This window comes from Homo sapiens, chromosome 7 (genome assembly GCF_000001405.40).
Source record: "Homo sapiens chromosome 7, GRCh38.p14 Primary Assembly".
Taxonomy (NCBI): Eukaryota; Metazoa; Chordata; class Mammalia; order Primates; family Hominidae; genus Homo; species Homo sapiens.
The window spans coordinates 582,409-600,424 of record NC_000007.14 but is presented as its reverse complement, the minus strand read 5'-3'; the positions used below and the strand labels follow the sequence as shown (position 1 = coordinate 600,424).

The 18,016-nt window shown below is 58.6% G+C and overlaps 1 protein-coding gene across 11 annotated transcripts in view, besides 1 other annotated feature; it reads left to right on the top strand.

Annotated features, from left to right (window-relative positions):
- The window catches only part of PRKAR1B (protein kinase cAMP-dependent type I regulatory subunit beta), a 179,738-nt gene that overhangs the window by 128,510 nt on the left and 33,212 nt on the right, over nt 1-18,016 (top strand). For all 11 annotated transcript variants that reach the window (XM_047420607.1, NM_001164759.1, XM_047420608.1 and 8 more), the window contains 2 exons: nt 4,121-4,279; nt 15,857-15,917. In XM_047420607.1, the coding sequence (XP_047276563.1) occupies nt 4,121-4,279; nt 15,857-15,917 (220 nt within the window). The remainder of the gene's footprint in view (nt 1-4,120; nt 4,280-15,856; nt 15,918-18,016) is intronic.
- Nucleotides 9,270-9,416: a silencer, noted in NCBI's record as "fragment chr7:630646-630792 (GRCh37/hg19 assembly coordinates)". NCBI's record gives its function as "represses an EF-1alpha promoter that drives an FKBP-Casp9 reporter gene in an ReSE screen in HepG2 liver carcinoma cells {active_cell/tissue: HepG2}" and the evidence as "EXISTENCE:reporter gene assay evidence [ECO:0000049][PMID:32094911]".

Here is an 18,016-nt window from a genome sequence, read left to right as displayed (position 1 = left end):
GAACTCCTGGGCTCAAGCGATCCTCCCGAGAAGCTGGGACTACCACTGTGCACCACCACGTCCAGCTAATTTTAAAGTTTTTCATAGAGACGGGGTCTTGCTGTGTTGCCCAGGCTGGTCTCAGACTCCTGGCTTCAAGCAATCCTCCCGCCTGGGCTTCCCAAAGTGCTGTGATGACAGGTATGAGCCACTGCCCTCGGCCCTACTTTAATTGTAGTAAAAGACACACCACACTGACCATTCTAACCATTTTGTGCAGTTCGGTGGCATTAAGAATATTCACGTTGTTTTACAACCGTCACCACTGTCCATTTCCCAAATGTTCTTGTCTTCTTAAACTGAAGCTCTGTCCACATTACACACTCCCTGCCCATGCGCCTCCCCCAGCTCCTGGCACCCCTGTCCCACCATTGACTTCTAAACACAGAGGGTGAGCGAGTGAAGGTGAATGGGGGGCCTGCCCGTGCGCCTCCCCCAGCTCTTGGCACCCCTGTCCCACCATTGACTTCTAAACACAGAGGGTGAGCGAGTGAAGGTGAATGGGGGGCCTGCCCGTGTGCCTCCCCCAGCTCCTGGCACCCCTGTCCCACCATTGACTTCTAAACACAGAGGGTGAGCGAGTGAAGGTGAATGGGGGGCCTGCCCATGTGCCTCCCCCAGCTCCTGGCACCTCTGTCCCACCATTGACTTCTAAACACAGAGGGTGAGCGAGTGAAGGTGGGCAGGGGGCAGGGCAGAGCCAGGTGTGAGCTCGGCGCCAGAGAAGCTGCAGTGATGGTGGGGTGTAAATGCTGCCCCGCGGGGGACCCCCATTGTTTTTTCTTTTAAAAGAAGAGAAGCTGGGCGTGGTGGCTCACGCCTGTAATCCCAGCACTTTGGGAGGCCGAGGTGGGTGGATCACCTGAGGTCAGGAGTTTGAGACCAGCCTGACCAACATGGAGAAACCCCGTCTCTACTAAAAATACAAAATTAGCCGGGCGTGGTGGCAGTTGCCTGTAATCCGGGAGGCTGAGGCGGGAGAATCGCTTGAACCTGGGAGGCAGAGGTTGCGGTGAGCCGAGATCGCACCATTGCACTCCAGCCTGAGGAACAAGAGCGAAACTCCATCTCAAAAAAAAAAAAGAGAGAAAACAAAAAAATGAAACACAACAAGAAGTAGCCCCTTTGCGTACCAGCTGGGGTGGGGCCCGCACTGCGCCGGGAGTGGTGACAGTGGCCAGTGTCCTGAGAAGGATGGCCCCTTTGTCCTCCGGGCGGCCGAGCACAGTGTGGCCCTGGCCGTCTGTGGGACCCGCACAATGGCTTCCTCTGAGGCTGCGGAGGGAGCTCTCGGAGGCCTTGGGCTTCTCCAGGCCTCATGGGCAGCGCGTCCTGGTCCAGCTTCCCTGGGTCCTGCCTGCAGCGGCAGCAGCCACGGATCCCCGCTTTGAGACAGAATCCCAGAAAGCTGGGAGGTGCGGCCGTCCCGGGCTGGCTCTGTGGAGACTCACCCTTCTCTGCTCCCAGAGCCCCCATCCTCTTTGCCAAGGCAGGGGGATGTCCTGCCACTTGCCTGGGCAGCCATTCGAGGGGGTGGTGTCCTCATTCCCTGAAGGGGCCAAGAGGCTCACTCACCTCCTTGGGCACAAGATGTTACCCGCCTCCCTGGCTCTCCCATGTCAAGCAAACCCCTCCCGACCTCAGATTCACATCTTCTGAGTCCACACTGCTTTCGTGGCTCAGCAAGAGGCCCCTGCATCGGAACAGAAGTGCAGAGGGTGCTGGAGGGAGGGTGATAGTGTTTAGTGCGGAGGGTGCTGGAGGGAGGGTGATGATGTTTAGTGTGGAGGGTGATGGTGTTTGGTGCGGAGGGTGCTGGAGGGTGATGGTATCTAGTGTGGAGGGTGCTGGAGGGTGATGGTGTTTAGTGTGGAGGGTGCTGGAGGGTGATGGTGTTTAGTGTGGAGGGTGCTGGAGGGAGGGTGATGGTATTTAGTGTGGAGGGTGCTGGAGGGTGATGGTGTTTAGTGTGGAGGGTGCTGGAGGGAGGGTGATGGTGTTTAGTGTGGAGGGTGCTGGAGGGAGGGCGATGGTGTTTAGAGCGGAGGGTGCTGGAGTGAGGGCGATGGTGTTTAGTGTGGAGGGTGCTGGAGGGAGGGCGATGGTGTTTAGTGTGGAGGGTGCTGGAGGGAGGGTGATGGTGTTTAGTGTGGAGGGTGCTGGAGGGTGATGGTGTTTAGTGCGGAGGGTGCTGGAGGGAGGGTGATGGTGTTTAGTCTGGAGGGTGCTGGAGGGTGATGGTGTTTAGTGCAGAATGCCTCCTGAAGCTGTGCCAGTGGCGACTGCCACCCCAGGCGTGCATGTCACGTACAGGGATGCTCCTGGCAGCACGACGTGCTGTGGACCCTGGAGTCCGTCACCTGCAGCGTGGATAGACACGGTGAGACCCACAGGGTGAGCTCCGGATCCCTCTGGGGAAGAGTCCCCTGGGAGTTTGTGAGGCCCCGATCTGAGCGATGTGAAACTCACTGTGCTGCAAGAGTTGGGCACGTTCCTATTTGCAAGTTCTGCCTCCATAAACTGGTTTTGACAAAACCTTAGGCAAAGTGGGAGTGTCCACTGCGAGGCGGAAGGCCAGGCTGTGCCCAGGCCATTGCAGGCCCTCTCCAGCTTCATCGCCCGCAGGCCAGGCTGTGCCCCGGCCATCGCAGGCCCTTCCCCCGGCTTCATCGCCAGTCCTCCCCTAGCTCTGGGTCCCCTTTGAGAAGCAAGAGGCAGAGGTTCTGGAGGGCATTCTCTGAGGTCCCCTCGCCCCTAAAACGCTGGAGTTGCTGCCTCCTCCACGTATCCCTGCACGCGCGGGTGGGTACTCTCTGGCTCCGTGGAAGGACGGCCGTCTTCTGATTCCTGGAGGGGATCACTGGGGGGAAGCTGGTGTTTCTTCTGCCCCGTAATCCTGCTCCAGCCTCCCTCCAGGAACTGGGGAGCCTGGTGGGCCAGGTGGAGATGATCCCCACATCCCCGCCAGGCAGAGTCTGCCTTTGCACAGCAGTCGCCCCTGTGCCTCCGAAAGTTCGTGGTCGACCAGTTCTCCCCAGCGCTCACTTGTACCTAATTGTGGAGTTACACCTGCGTGGCCTTTTCTTTCAGATAGAAGACTCTGTGCCTCAGTTATTATCCAGATAATGAGTCATTGATTTCAGTAAGAATTGATTCCATGATTCATTGCAATCCATTCTTTCCCGATATGCAACCAATGGGAACTGCTTTGCCAATGGGAACTATTCTTTAAGCTCATTGACACCCAGAGGGGATAAAGCGTGTATTGTGTCAATTTATAGTAACGGAATCTGCATAATCACTGCATAATAAACAATCTGCACCATTCTTGCACGGACCCAACTGTGATGCTCAATGCATAGTAGGCACCCTGTGCGGGGGCGGCGGCCCACCCGGGCTGAAAGGGAATCTTGTCTGGGCTCCTTCCCAGGCGCAGCTCGGCCGCAGCGCCCAGCCATAGGGCGCCCATTCAGACTCCAGCCCGAGGAGCTCAGGCGCTGCCTGTAGGGAGGGAGGCCCTGGCAGGAGAGGTCTGCACTTGAGGCCGCCCGGCTCCTTCGGGGCCCAGTGGTGTGTGCTGGTGGAGGTGGGGACAGAGGAATGGCCTGGGGTGGAGAGGAAGCACACAGGTCCCCAGAGCAGAGCCCCGTGGGGATCACAGGCTCCAGCTCATCACGGTGCAGCTAGGGAAACTGAGGCCCAGAGAGGCTGAGTGAGAAGTTGACGGATTGAATCAGACACTGCCTGGGAGTCAGGCTGGGGCCGCTGTGCCGCAGAGCGGGGGCCGGGTGCGTCCGCCTCTGGTGTGGTTGTCTCATTGGCACTGGCGGCTGGGCCCTCCTGCTGTGGAGGTCTGATGCTGTCCCACCGTGGCTCTCAGCAGGGCTGGGGGTGGGGTGAGCACTGGGGTCCACAGGCCCATTGCTGGGGAACGCAGGGCTCTGCCCACAAGCGAAAGGGCTTGTGCCCCGCCCTGCGGGGACCCTCTTCTGGAGAGAGCTAAGGGGGACTTTCTGTATGGGATGCAGAGGAGGTCACCCTGCCTGGCCCCCGTGACACTTCTCTCTCTTGCTCCCCAAAGGTGTACGTGAACGGAGAGTGGGTGACCAACATCAGCGAGGGAGGCAGCTTCGGGGAGCTGGCGCTCATCTACGGCACCCCCAGGGCTGCGACCGTGAAAGCCAAGACGGACCTCAAGCTCTGGGGGATCGACCGGGACAGCTACCGGCGCATCCTTATGGTGAGTTGGTGCCCAAGCACAGAGAAGGCCAACACCCACCCTTGGCCAGGCGTCCCTGGGAACCCTAGCTCTATTCAAGGTGGGGATGCACCTGGAGAAAAGACACTTCCAACCTCCCTGACAGATCTGGCCTGTGAGAGGAGTGGAAAGGGGTGGAGGGATTCTGGAAGCTTCTTAGAAGACAGGTGGCTGGGGAGGCCCCTTCACCGTCCTCCTTTTCTCCTTCCCACTGTCTGGACTGTGGTTGTGATGGCTGGTGCTCCAGCTGCCATGTTGGGCCAGGAGGTGACTATGAGCGTGAAACCCACTCACCATGGTGATGGAGCAAAGAGGTGTGAGGAGCGTGGTTCCCTGCCGACACGGTGGCTGCTCACCCACGGGCTTCCTGTGTGTGGGGACTGACTCTTGGGCTTTTAGCTTTTTTTCTTATATGTGGCCAGATCTACTCTGAGCCACGTACCCTGTACTGTGTGTGTTGTGTGCACACGTGGGTGTATGCCTGTGCTTGCTGTGGGCGGCGGGGGTGCTATGGGCCGATTCAGCTGCCACGGCTGGTGTTTGTAGGGGCTCCTGGAGGTGAGCTCGTGGGGAGCCCGGGGAGGACCCTTTCCAGGGAGAGGAGACCCTCCACGCCCTCCCCGCACACACCCCACCTGCCAGGCCCTGTTCTGGGTGCAGGTCTGTGGGGAACACAGGCAGGGCAGCTGGAGTCTTGTCCTGGTGGAGGCGGCCGTGAACACCCGGCCCCAGAGGGTGATTCCTGTGGAGAAGGACCAAGCCGAGAAGCAGGTGGAGGCAGACGGAGTGGGGCGGGGGGGACTGCTGTTCCGTGGAGGGGCCTCAGAGACCCCCCTGATAAGGTGGCATTGAGCAGAGCCTCAGGGCAGGACGCCCGGGTGCCGGAAGCAGCCCAGGAGCGTGAGGGCCGAGGAACAGCAGCACAGGGCTGGGCCAGGGCTGAGGGGCCTGTGTGGATGAGGAGGCCTTCCCGCGTGGGGCAGTGAGGCGCTGTCCAGAGAGGGCGGGGAGGGCTCCAGGCCGAGGACCCGCAGCTTCTGCAGGAAGCACCCTGTCAGAGTGCTCAGGAGCCACGGTGGGAGCTTGAGGGCAGCTGTGACCAGATGTGGACCCAGTTCCCTGGGCCGGTTTGGGGCCATCCAGTGAGCGTAGACAGCACCCCGTGCGGCCATTCATCCTGGGAAGCTCTGGGTCTGCCACAGTGTCTGGGGTCCCTTGGTGGTCTGGGGACCCTCATAGTTTGGAGTCCCCTTGTGGTTTGGGTGGTCTCGTCATGATCTGGGGGGGACTCCTCATGGTCTAGGGGATCCCCTCATGGTCTTGGGGTCCCCTCATAATTTGGGGTCCTCTCATGGTCTGGGGGAGTCCCCTCATGGTCTAGGGGTCCCCTTATGGTTTGGGATTTCCCTTGTGGTCTGGGGAGTCCCCTCATGGTCTTGGGGTCCCCTTGTGGTCTAGGGGGTCCCCTCATGGTCTTGGGGTTCCTTCATAGTTTGGAGGTGTCCCCTTATGGCCTCAGGTCTCCTCCTCAGCTCCTTCTGTCCCATCGCTGGGCAGAGGCCTCCAGGAGCCAGCGCCTGTGGTTTGGGTGGCCGCACCCCTCCACTCTGTCCTTACCTAGCCATGACCGCTGGGCCAGGGGCTCCTCTGAGCTGGTTGGGGGTGACACAGCAGAACCTGGTGGCGGTGGGCTTGTTGCCAATGCAGCCCCGGACAGCGTCTGCTCCGAGCCCTCTCCTTCGGGGCCTGGGGTCCCGGGGTCCAGCCCGGCCGAGGAGGGGTTGAGCCAGGTGGGTGTTGCCGGGGTCCTCGGCCTCTCCTCCATCCCCTGCTTGGGATGGTTCCCTCCACTCCATGCCCGAGGCCAGCCTGGTTGCTATGGCAGGAGGTGAATGGCCTGGTGTCTTCTAGGGGGCTTGGCTGACTCCTGGAAGGCCAGCCTGGGTGGGTGTGATTCCTAAGGAGGGAGCCACAGTTCCAGGACGCCCAAGGGCAGGACTGGGGAGAGTCCTGGGGGATGGTTTAGGATGGAGCCCCGTGAGCTGGGAGAGCAAGTTCAACCCTGGGTTTCCCTCTTGGAAGTGCGTCGTCTGATTGGGGAACAAGGATTTGATGGCCATGGGCCAGCTGAGAGACGGTGTCCTGCTGGCGCTGGCCTGTCCCGGCCCCACGGCGATGCCGGCTCTTGTGTTTTGTGGATGGCGCGTTCGCACAGTCTTTGGGGCGGCTGTTTCATCAGATTCTGCACCCCATGAGCTTCTCATTTATGCACCTGTGGGGCATTGCTGGGGTGCCCACCCTGGGTCTGGGGCTCCTGTGCTGCTGGGGATACTCCAGTACACAGAACAGATGATGTGCAGCCTCCTGGGAGGAGTTGCACGCTCCCTCTCTTCTGTCTGAACCCGCTCACTCCTGCCTTCACTGGGAGGCCTCTGTCGCCGCGTGGGAGGGGTCCCCTGAGACACCCTCCCCCTGAGAGGGGCTGGAGCGGTTTTGGGGCAGGAAGAGGGCACAGCGGTTCCCATCTCCTCTGGGCGCACCTGGCCCGGCGTTGCATAAGCCGTTTCCCCACCATCCTTGACGCCCTGTCGCTCCCGGCTGGGGGATTTTTGTGGCTGGAACCTTATATTCAGGGAAGTTCCCAAACCACTGAGGGAGCTGGCGCTTCCTCTGTTTTAATTTTGGGTCCCTGTGCGCTAAGAATAGCTGGCCGCGCCGGGCTGGTTTGGACGGGAGCATTTGCAGGATGGTGTCTGTTTCTGTATTGGCCCCGAGCTCCTCACACAGCTCCTGTTTCTGCCTTAGTCCCGAGCTGGGACGTGCTGGGACCTGGGGGACGCGGGAGACCCGGTCTGGTGTCTCCAGGAAGTAGACCACCGCCCAAAATGTGAACGCTGACTCCAGTTTAGGATCCCAGAGTGTCTGATCTGGGAGACTCCCTGATGCCCGTCTCTTTCCTCCACCGCTTCACGTTTTATCCGAGGAAGGATGGGGTGACCCCACCTCTAGGCTCCCAGGCAGGGGCCCAGCCCGGGGCCAGCACTCCCCAGACTTGCTTTTTCTTTCTTACCTTTTTGTTTTTTTTAATTTTTTTGAAACAATGTCTCACTGTCACCCAGGATGGAGTGCAGTGGCACAATCTCGGCTCACTGTAGCCTCCGCCTCCCCGGCTCAAGCCATCCTCCCTCCTCAGCCTCCCGAGTAGCTGGGACTACAGGCGTGTGCTACCGCGCCTGACTAATTAAAAAATTGTTTTTTGTAGAGACCTGGTCTCACTATGCCACCTAGGCTGGTCTTGGACTCCTGGGCTCAAGTGATCCTCCCGCCTCAGCCTCCCACAGTGCTGGGTCTATAGGTGTGAGGTGTGAGCCACCGTATCCGGCCTGATTTTTCTTTCTTGTAAGCTTTGGAGTCCTCTGTTCACCCTGATCCTTACCCAGGACCTCAGCGTTTGGAAGCAATGGATGTAGAATTCTGTGGTGGAGGCTGTGCTGGGGTATCCAGAGCCCAAGACCCCCTTGGAACCTGAGTCTTTGGTGGAGGTTGGACCCTCCCCGCCCCTCAGCCCCCGCTGACCAGTATCCGGAGTGACTCGGCACAGCCAGTGGGGCCAGGAGGGGACCAGTGTCCGGAGTGACTCGGCACAGCCGGTGGAGCCGGGAAGGGACCGATGTCCGGAGTGACTCGGCACAGCCAGTGGGGCCAGGAGGGGACCAGTGTCCGGAGTGACTCCGCACAGCCAATGGGGCCGGGAAGGGACGCGGCTTCTCCATTTCTCAGCACAAGCAGTTTGTCACTTGTAGCCTCGAGGACGCTGCTAAGGTCACGGAGGGTCCCCGAGCCTCGACCGGGGCTTAGTGCCCTGCAGTGTCCACGTGAGGCCACGGCAGCCGGGAGGGCCCGTGTGCACCCTCACTCGGGCGGGACGGTGGGCTCAGGAGCTCTGAGGCAGCCGTGATGTGCTGAGGGTCACACAGTGTGCACGTGGGGACCCTGATCCATGGGGGGATCAGAGCCGGGACCTGCCTGGCAAGTCCACCTCACGGAGGCCCTGGTGGGAGGAAAAGTGGGCACCGTTCACAGCTGGCGACCCCTGCTCCGCCTGCCTGGGCCTCTTTCTCTTCTCATTGGCCCTGGGGTCTGTCACGCTGGGTTCCACAGCGGTGCCTTCAGACTGAAGTTGCCAACCCCACAGCCGTGCGTGGGAGCCGGGGCTGGCTTTCTGGTGGGCTTCACCTCACGACTTTGGGGGTGTGTGGCTGTGGTGTGAATCTGCTCCTCCTGGCTTTGAAGTGTGAGGGGATGAGGCCGTGTTGCAGCCATCTGGGGCCATTGTGGGGAGGGTCAGGCATCACCAGTCATTTCACCCCACTGACAGTGCGTCTCCAGGCTGGAGAAGTGGCTGCTGTATATATTTTTCTTTTCCTTTTTTTTTCTGTTAATAGAGGTGAAGTCTTGATATGTTGCCCAAGCTGGTCTCAAACTCATGAGCTCAAGCGACCCTCCCGCCTTGGCCTCCCAGAGTGCTGGAATTATAGGCGTGAGCTGCTGCACCTGGCAGCCGTTATCAACGCTCCAGTTTTCCAGGCTTTCTGTGTGTAGGTGCTGGCAAGATGGGGCAGAGCTGAGGCCGGGACCCAGGCCCCGTGCCCCCCGAGCCGACTCATGGGAAGTGGGTGGGACCGGTGTTAAGAAGCCACTTCTAGCGCCCCCGCCCTCCCCGTGCCGTGGGCTTGAGGAAGCCCTGTACCTGGAAATGGGGGTCACCTGCCTTTTCCCACACAAAGCCCCCCTTGGGGATGCCGGCAGACACACTGCAGAGCCCCCACGTGGGGGTCCCAGTGCCCACCGGCCAGCTCGGAGGCCAGCTCCCAGCCCTGCCTCACCGACCGTCTCAGCCACAGAAGGAACATGATCCCAAAAGGGGCAGTCTTTGGGGCCGGGCCCTCCCCCGGGGGCCCCTGGCAGCCTTCAGCTGTCACCCCGCCGCGAGAGATGGACGGGTGCACGAGGCTTTAATGTCTGAGGTTCCCCGGGCAAAACACGCTTGCATTCCTCCGGCTGGGCGTAATTGCTGGGCAGTCAGTGTGAATTATAAATTATTTTTCAAAAGAAGTGCTTTTTTTATGGCTGGCAGAAATCTAAAATGGCCTGGGCTGGGTCATTGCGCCTGCCACTGCCCCGGGCATCCGGCCCGCTCTCCGCTCTCGGGGGCAGACACGCGGCACTTTCTGCTGCCGACGGGCCTGGGCTCGGCGTTTCTGAAAAGATCGTTGTCACTGAGGAAGCCCGGTTCGTTCAGGCACCCGCAGCGGGTGGAGAAGTGCCGTCTGCACCGTCTTGGTCTTGGGCCAAGTTCCTGAGGTTTTTCTGGACCTGCTGGGCTGTGGGCTTTTGCCAGAAAGAGGGGACCTTGGGGAGGGCTTTGGCAGAAGATAGGACACCCCCTGGACTCTAAAATTGGGGCTTACAGCCATTTTAGTGCTGCTCTGACCCAGAGCTGATGGAGAAACTGAGACCTGGGTATCGGGGAGGGCTGGGTTCCCACCTGCATCTCCTGCGTCTGCGTCTGCTGTGACTTGCAAGGCCTGGGGCTGTTTTCTCCCCGGATGCTGGCCTCTTGGGCTCCAAGTGCCCATCTCTCGGGGCCCCGCCCCCACCCTGCTGGTCTCTTGGTCCCCTGGACTGGGCACGCGAGGGCCACACGTTGGAGTGGCAAGGTCAGTGCCGCCAGGCCAGGATTCCAGTGGCTGCACCCAGCTGTGCCCACCAGGCCTGCAGCCATGTTCAGCTCTGTGCTCTCAGCTGCAGCTCTTCTCCTCACCGGTGCGTGCCTTGGGCGACAGAGTCCTGCCGTGCTGTGCTGATGTGCACATACTTTGGAGCAGAGTCCCCTTATGGTTTCACACCCTTTGCTGGGCCGGTGGTGCTCAGGGCTGTGGGAGCCACACTCCTCTTGGAGTGTCCTGAAGGGCGTGGGGCTGCACAGCAGAGTGCCAGAGCCCCCTCTGTCTTCTGGTCTCCAGGCACCGGGGGAGGCAGGGCCCAGGGAGCCAGGCCACCGACATTTCCGGTTCTCTCTGCGTGGTGTTGAGCCCCCTCTCCCTGCAGCAGATTCCGTCTGAAAGTGGCCCCGTGCCATTGAACATGTCCAGAGCTGCCCCAGCTGCCTGACCCTCACAGGGCCGTGGGCTTGGTGTTGGCATCATGAAAGCAACATCCAGGGGCTGGATCGTCCCGGCTCCTCTCTCTGTCCCGGGCAGCCTGGGCACGTTGCATGCTCTGAGCTGCCCTTCTCCAGTCTCACGTGAGGGTGCAGCATGATGACGTGGTGCCGTGCACACGGTAGGTGCTCTGTGGATGCCACTTCTGTTCTTCCAGAGCAGATAAGATGCTGAGTGTGTGAGTGGAGGTTCGGGATGACCTTGTTGTCTCCAGGACAGTGTGGGGCCTGGCCGTGCGAGCATCCATTCTGGAACAAGATTGTCCCGTTTCAGTTCTTGGCCTCAGCACTTAGCAGCTCGGTGGGCATAGGCAGGCCACACCGACCCTGAGCCTCTGTTTCTTCCATAGAGTGGAGATAATAGTAGGCTCAGCTGAAAGTGTGGATCTCGGGAGGTGCCTGATTGCTGGGGAGCATTCAGCATAGTGAGCCGTGCTTATCGTCATCACCTTCTGGGAGGAGGAGGAATCTTGGCAGTGGTGGGGGCTGCTGAGGACGAGGGCTGGGTCAGCAGCTGTTTGCAGGGGTGTCTGACCCCATTTCTGAGCTCAGGCACCTGACATACCCCTGCTAGTCAATGGGAAGCAGACAAGGACCAAGGTGGACATGGCACCCGTGGAGCGGTGGTGAGGAATTTGGGAGGACAGAGAAGGAGCCCAGGCCAGAGACACACGGAACAGCTGCTCATTTCAATCACTCTTCTCATGGAGAAACCGAAGACCAGAGGGGACAAGACTAGTCCAAGGGCATGGGGAGTCATGGGTAGGCTGGGGTTGGAATTGCAATGTCCTGACTTTCCCCGTCAGCACACTTTTGTGTACCCGGTAAAAACCACTACCACCATCATCATTGCCACCATCACTACCATCATCAGCACTATAATCATCACTACCACTATCGTCACCATCATCACCATCACATCGTCATCACCACTGTCACTATCCTCACCACCATCACCACCATCACCACCATCTCTATCCCCACCATCACCATCACCACCGTCACCATCACCACCACTGTCACTATCCTCACCAACATCACCACCATCACCATCACCACCATTACCATCACCACCATCACCACCATCATCGTGATCACCACTGTCACTATCCTCACCACCATCACCACCATCACCATCACCACCATCACCATCACCATCACCACTGTCACTATCCTCACCACCATCACCACCATCACCATCACCATCACCACCATCACCATCATCGTCATCACCACTGTCACTATCCTCACCACCATCACCACCATCACCATCACCACCATCACCATCACCACCATCACCATCACCACCGTCATCACCACTGTCACTATCCTCACCAACATCACCACCATCACCACCGTCACCACCATCACCACCGTCACCACCATCATCGTGATCACCACTGTCACTATCCTCACCACCATCACCACCATCACCATCACCACCATCACCATCACCATCACCACTGTCACTATCCTCACCAACATCACCACCATCACCATTAGCAGCAACATAACATTTGTTGAGAATCAGTTCTCATAATGACCCAGTGAGGCAGGGATTTTTATGGTCTCATTTCACCAAAGCCCAATGATGCAGGTGACACATTCAAACCTGTACTTGTCCACGTTGAGTGGACTGCCCACTGTGTCCTCCATGCTGAGGCTCTGGAAGGCAGGGGAGGGTGGGTGTCCTTAGGGTCCTTGTCCCCATCATGGAAGTTGGGCTCAAGCCACACCTTCGCTGGGCTCAGTCGTCTGATCTGTGAGTGGGAAGCTTGGTGCAGCTCCAGGAGTCTGTTTCTGGACACTGAGGGCGGCTTGGGAGCGAGTGGGGAGGGCCACGCTACCGGAAATGGCCTGTGCCCATGGGAAAGGTCAGCCTGGCCACCAGGGCCCAGAATAAGCAACTGTGGAAACAACCCGGCCTGAGCCCCACACAAGTCACTGCTGTGCCTCGGGGACTTGCGCGCCATTCCTCCCCCATTTCACTGGAGCTTGCATTTTTGTCATAGTTTTCCAGGGACAGGCGTTTAACATCACGTGCCTTTCCTCCAGCCCTTCCCCCTTGAGCTGTTTTCCTTCCACAGCAATCCATCTCCCTTCCTTCATCCTCTGCTCCACTCCTGCAGGGCCTCCTGCCCCAGCAGCTGGAGTCCCGCTCCATCCCAGCCAGGAGGGCTGCACAGGAGGGCTGCGGACTGCCTCCCCTATGCTCACTCGGTGTCCCCAGGGCTGCTCTTTCCCACCCCCAACTGTGGAAGGGGCTGTGTGGTGGTCCCTCATTTTCCCATGTGATGGGGCCACCTTTGGTGTGCTCAAGGAGTCCCTTTTTAAGGGAGACACAAGTAAGTTTGCATCTGGCTGTGGGTGGCATTGAGAGATAGGAGAGGGGGCAGTGGGTAGGCGCAGGCCCTGGAGGCGGGGCCAGGGCAGACCCCCACTTCACCACGGCAGTGGGTAACTTCAGACACACACCTCCGAAGCACTCACCTCCACTTTCTCCTCCTCCTCGGCCCTCTGAGTTGTGACAATGTGATGGGCACAGCCCTGAGCACAGCCCCCACCCCTGTCCAGGGCACTCAGTAAACACCAAGTGGTGCCTGATTGCGATCTCCATTCCTGTGAGTGATTGGAGTGGATGGGAAGATGCTTTGAACAGCACCCCTCAGGAGAAGAAAGTTTGGGGAGACTGACAGGCATTTGGGGGGCTCCTCTGAGTGTCAGGGGTCTTGCTTCTCCTGTCCAGTCCATCTCTCTTTCCTGACATCTCCTTCCTACATACGTTGCTTAGAAGGTGGGATAAATTCCTGGTTAACACAGTGAAACCCCGTTTCTACTAAAAATACAAAAAACATTAGCTGGGCATGGTGGCGGGCGCCTGTAGTCCCAGCTACTCCGGAGGCTGAGGCAGGAGAATGGCGTGAACCCGGGAGTTGGAGCTTGCAGTGAGCCGAGATCGCACCACTACACTCCAGCCTGGGCAACAGAGTGAGACTGTCTCAAAAAAAAAAAAAAAAAGAAGGTGGGATAAATGACCCTCCTTCACCATTGCCCCCAGGCGTTGTGGCAGCTGGGAGGGTCCCTGGCAGCAGGGTGTTATGCCAGCCGCCTGCAGGACTCAGAAGAGTTTATAGTTTTCTATCTTAACCTAGGTTTCCTAGCCTATCCTTACCCTTAGGATTAAATTTTGCTGGATGTATTAGTTAGCTGTGGCTGTGTAACAAATTCCCCTCAAACTTAGTGGCCTCTGTCAACAGTGTTACATTTGTTCCATTTCCTGTGGGTCATGGAGGAAGCAGCTGCTCGGCTCTGGCCTGGAACCCTCCTCGGGCTGGGGGGATCAGAAGGTCTTATGGGGCAGAGGAGATTTCTGTGGTGGCTTCCCCCCAACAGGGCTGGAGGGTGGCAGGAAGGTGCTGCTCCTCCTCTGAGCTTCTCTGCAGCTGAGCGATCCAGGAGAGAGCAGGGCAGGAGCCACAGTATCTTTTACAACCTGGCTTTGCAAATCTCAGACTCATTTCCTTAGCATTCTCTAGTTGGATCCGTCAGCCCTATTCATCGTGGTCTTAGTTGCATCCGTCAGCCCTATTCATCGTGGGACAGAGCACACAGGGTGTGGACACCAGGAGGCGAGTGAGGATCATTGGGGGCCGGCTGCCTCCATGCCAGGTGTAACAGAAATACTCAAAATAACAGTGTCTTAAACCACACGGCTGTTTCTCACGCTCTGGGAGTCTGTCTAGGGTGGGTGTGTTGTTCCATGGGGCCCGAGAACCAGCTTTCTCTTACTGATGCTCCTCAGGGGCCCAGGATGGCTGCTGCAGCCCCAGCCATCATCTCCACATGCCAGTCAGCAGGAAGGAGGAGAGGGGAGGGACATGTTCAGAAACTGCACATGCCACTGTGTCTGCGTGCCCCTGGTCAGCACTTGGTCAGTTGCACAGGTGGGAGGCACCTGGTAAATGCTGCTCACTGTGGTTTTCTGTCTCAGGGCATTACGGGAATTTGCAAAACAGCATGTCAGGAAGGGGTAAAATACGTCCCCATTCAAGTTGAGAGGCGGGGGCAGCTTTGGGGCTTTTAGGGCCCAGTCTAGGCTTTCCTTCTTGGTTCCGTGGTTCCTATCTAGGGTGGTCACTCAGCCCTGCGGAGCTGCAGTTTCTGCCTCTGGAAAATAAGGATAAAAGTATGTTCCCCTCTCAGGGTTATCTGTTGCGAGGTCGATGTGGGTCAGTGTGTCCAAGAGCCCCCCTCCCTGACCTGGAGTGGGCGTTCAACACAGCAAGTTCCCTCCTCCCTCCTTTCTCCACACCCCAGGGGACTTATCTAGGGTCACGGAAAAACCTCATCACTAGCATGTCGTCTCTCGGTCTGACTCACATCCCGGCGTACACCCTACTCGAACGCGTGGCCTCTGTCAGTGGATGATACCATTTGAATTTTAGCAAAGTCGAGCTTGCTGCTGTCCGGGTGGACTCTGTGTCTCTGTTTTTGGAATGTGCAGTGCTGAATCGTACCCACCGTGCGGCTGCTCTGTACAGTTGTGGAGTTCGTGCACTGTACAAAGGCCCAGGCAGAGGGTTGAGAGGGGCTGAGACCCAGGCTGCTTTCTGCACACCAGGCTGGAGCTGACTGCCTAGAGCAGGGGCCTCGTTCCTGTTTGCACCAGGGCCCATCAGCTTGATGGGATGTGTGTGCTTAAAGAAGGGGTGTGTTTTTCTAATTCACATTTATAATCCTAGTTTCTAGAATGAATTCTAATTTCTAATTCACATAACGCTGACAGGGCCGTGTTTGTTGGTATTGTATGATTCAGCATGCTTTTCCCAGGGTTGAGGGAAGTCAAGTATCGGCTTTTAATGGGTAACGAGGCAGCTTCAGGCACGGCTGGATCCAGGGTCTTAGCTGACGTCAGCCGCACTCTCCCTTCTACGTCATGTGCTTGAGTCTCTGTGTTGGCCTCAGTTTCTCCAGATGTGTTTATGAGCTCCCTGCCCTTCATGGCTAGAAACCCGGGTTCAGGCTCTGGCTGGCTGTGCGCTCACCGTGTGGAACTACCACGGGTCCTGGCTGGGTGGGGAACTCTGCTGCCAGCCAGGACACTTAGCAACCATGCCGGGAGCTTCTCCAGAAGCCCCCCGGGAGGAGGGAGGTGGGGGGCATAGGACACCGTGGCAGCTCACGCAGACTCCGAGTCGTCGAGGGCTTTGGGGACTTGGAATGCTTGGAGGGTCTCATTTAAAAGTTGAGAGTCATTTGGGGAAATCTGGAAACGTCAGGATGATCCAGGTATGAAGATTCACCTTCTTGTCTGTTTTTTACTTTCTCCCGAACAGGGCAGCACGCTGAGGAAACGCAAGATGTACGAGGAGTTCCTCAGCAAGGTCTCCATCCTAGGTCAGTGGCTGCGCCCCTGCACGGCTGTGTGTCCCGACATCTGGGCGCCTGCTGGCCACCCCGGCCTCTTCCCCATTCCCTGCGTGGCTGGCAGTTGAGTGTTGTTGGTATTATGGAGGTTTGGGGTGCAACACACAGGCATGCTCACGCACAGACACGTGCACAGATGACACACACTGTCACTTGTTGGCAAACCCCAAGAGCCTGCCTCCTCTCTCGTGGGCGGGGCTGCCCTGCTTCTCAACGTCTCTGCCATCCTGTGCGTTTCCTGTCTGCTTCTCCCTTTGCTGTCAGAGCCGCGCCCCCAGCCTTCCCTCCACACCAGTCCGTGTAGAGCTGAAAGCCAGTGTTGGCTCCCGGTACACGTGTGAGCTGGGTCGAGCTGCTTTCCCTGACCTGTGCTAGTTCCCTTCTAAGCGCAGTTTCTCTGGGAGCCGCCTCTGCCCTTTCTACGCCGCCATCATTGCTCTCAGTTCCGGGAAGGATAACGGCAGGCTGGGGTTTCAGGTGTGCCCAGGGCCCTTTCACCTTCGGGTGAGCCTGCTTAACGGCCTGGCAGGAAAGACGCTGCTGAAGCCTGAGTTATACGCGATGGCGCCAGCTGGGCCAGTGGGGGCTCCTTGGGCTAGAGCAGGCAGAACCGTGCAGGTGTGTGGGGGTGAGTGTGCACATGGGGGTGTGTGTGCGTGTGTGTGCATGAGTGTGCATGTGAGTGCACATGGGTGTACACGTGAGTGTGCATGGGTGCGAGTGCACATGCATGGGTGTGTGCATGTGTGTAGAATGCGTGTGAATTGCACGTGTGTGAGGGTGTGAGTGCACCGTGTGGGTTGTGTGTGGGTGTGTGCGCATGGGTGTGCATGCATGTGAGTGTGGGGGTTTGAGTGTGCACGTGTGAGGGGGTGTGTGTGCACCTGGGAGTGTGCAAGTGTGTGTGCATGGGTGTGCACGCATGTGTTTGGCACGTGTGTGAGTGGGTGTGTGCACGCGTGTGTGGGTGTGTATGGGTGTGCACACACGTGTGTGCGTGGGTGTGAGTGCACGTGTGTGAGTGGGTGTGAGTGTGCACTGTGGGTGTGTGCGTGTGTGCGTGGGTGTGCACACGTGTGGGGGGTGTGAGTGTGCACATGTGTGAGTGGGTGTGTGCGCCTGTGTGTGTGCACGTGTGTGTATGCAGTGTGGCTGTGCCTGTGTTCCTTCTTGGGGAGGACTTTGACCCCTGTTCTCTCTGAAATCCTTCTGTGAAATGTCGAGAAAGGAGCGTGCGGGTCTTTCCATTGTGGTAAAATGCACGTCACAGCACGCCGACCGTTTTGACCTTTCCCGGAAGCGCATTTCAGGGCCGTTGAGTCTACACACGACGTTGTCGGCACCGCTCCCATCCCAGAGCCCCGTCCTCACCCGAGACAGAGCCCCGTCCCTGTGAGCCGTCACCCCCCCTGCCCTCCCGGCCCTGGCAGCCCCCGGACCCTCCTGGTCTCTGTGGATTATTTGCCTGCTCGGGACGTTTCGTGGGAATGGAATCACCTGTGTGGCTTTGTGTCTGGTTTTAATTCTAGTGCCATTTTGAAAATGTCATACTTGGAAACACAAAACGAGTTGGTCCGCCAGATTTTATAGGGGCCGAGAGGGGGACATTTGCTCCCTCTGCAAAATCCCAAACGCAGGGCCTCTGCCGCCCGTCTGGGCGTCCCGCTGCCTTTCAGCCAGACCTGGGTGGTCCGGCCCCTGGTGCCCACCAGGCACTGCATAGTCAGCCCTGTGCCCACAGACTCCTTCATTCACCAGCGCTGTCGAGACAACGGTTGCTGCAGGCCATGAAGGGCGAGACCCTCTCCCTGCTCCGGGCGAGGGCTGGTGACCCCCCGGCTGGAGGTGGCTTCTTGCTTCCTGCGTCCCGGGCTCTTAGGGGCCGTCGCACGCCCTGGCCGCGTGGCCTCCGTCCGCCCATTTATGTTCCTCTGATTAATGCAGCAGCCAGCAATGTGACCGGCTTCTCCGTGGCCTCCCAGAAGAGTAACCACAAGGCACGATTCCCTTTTCCTGCCCAGTCAGCATCGGCACAAAGTCCTCCAAAAAGTGGCTGGCGGGGCGGTGTC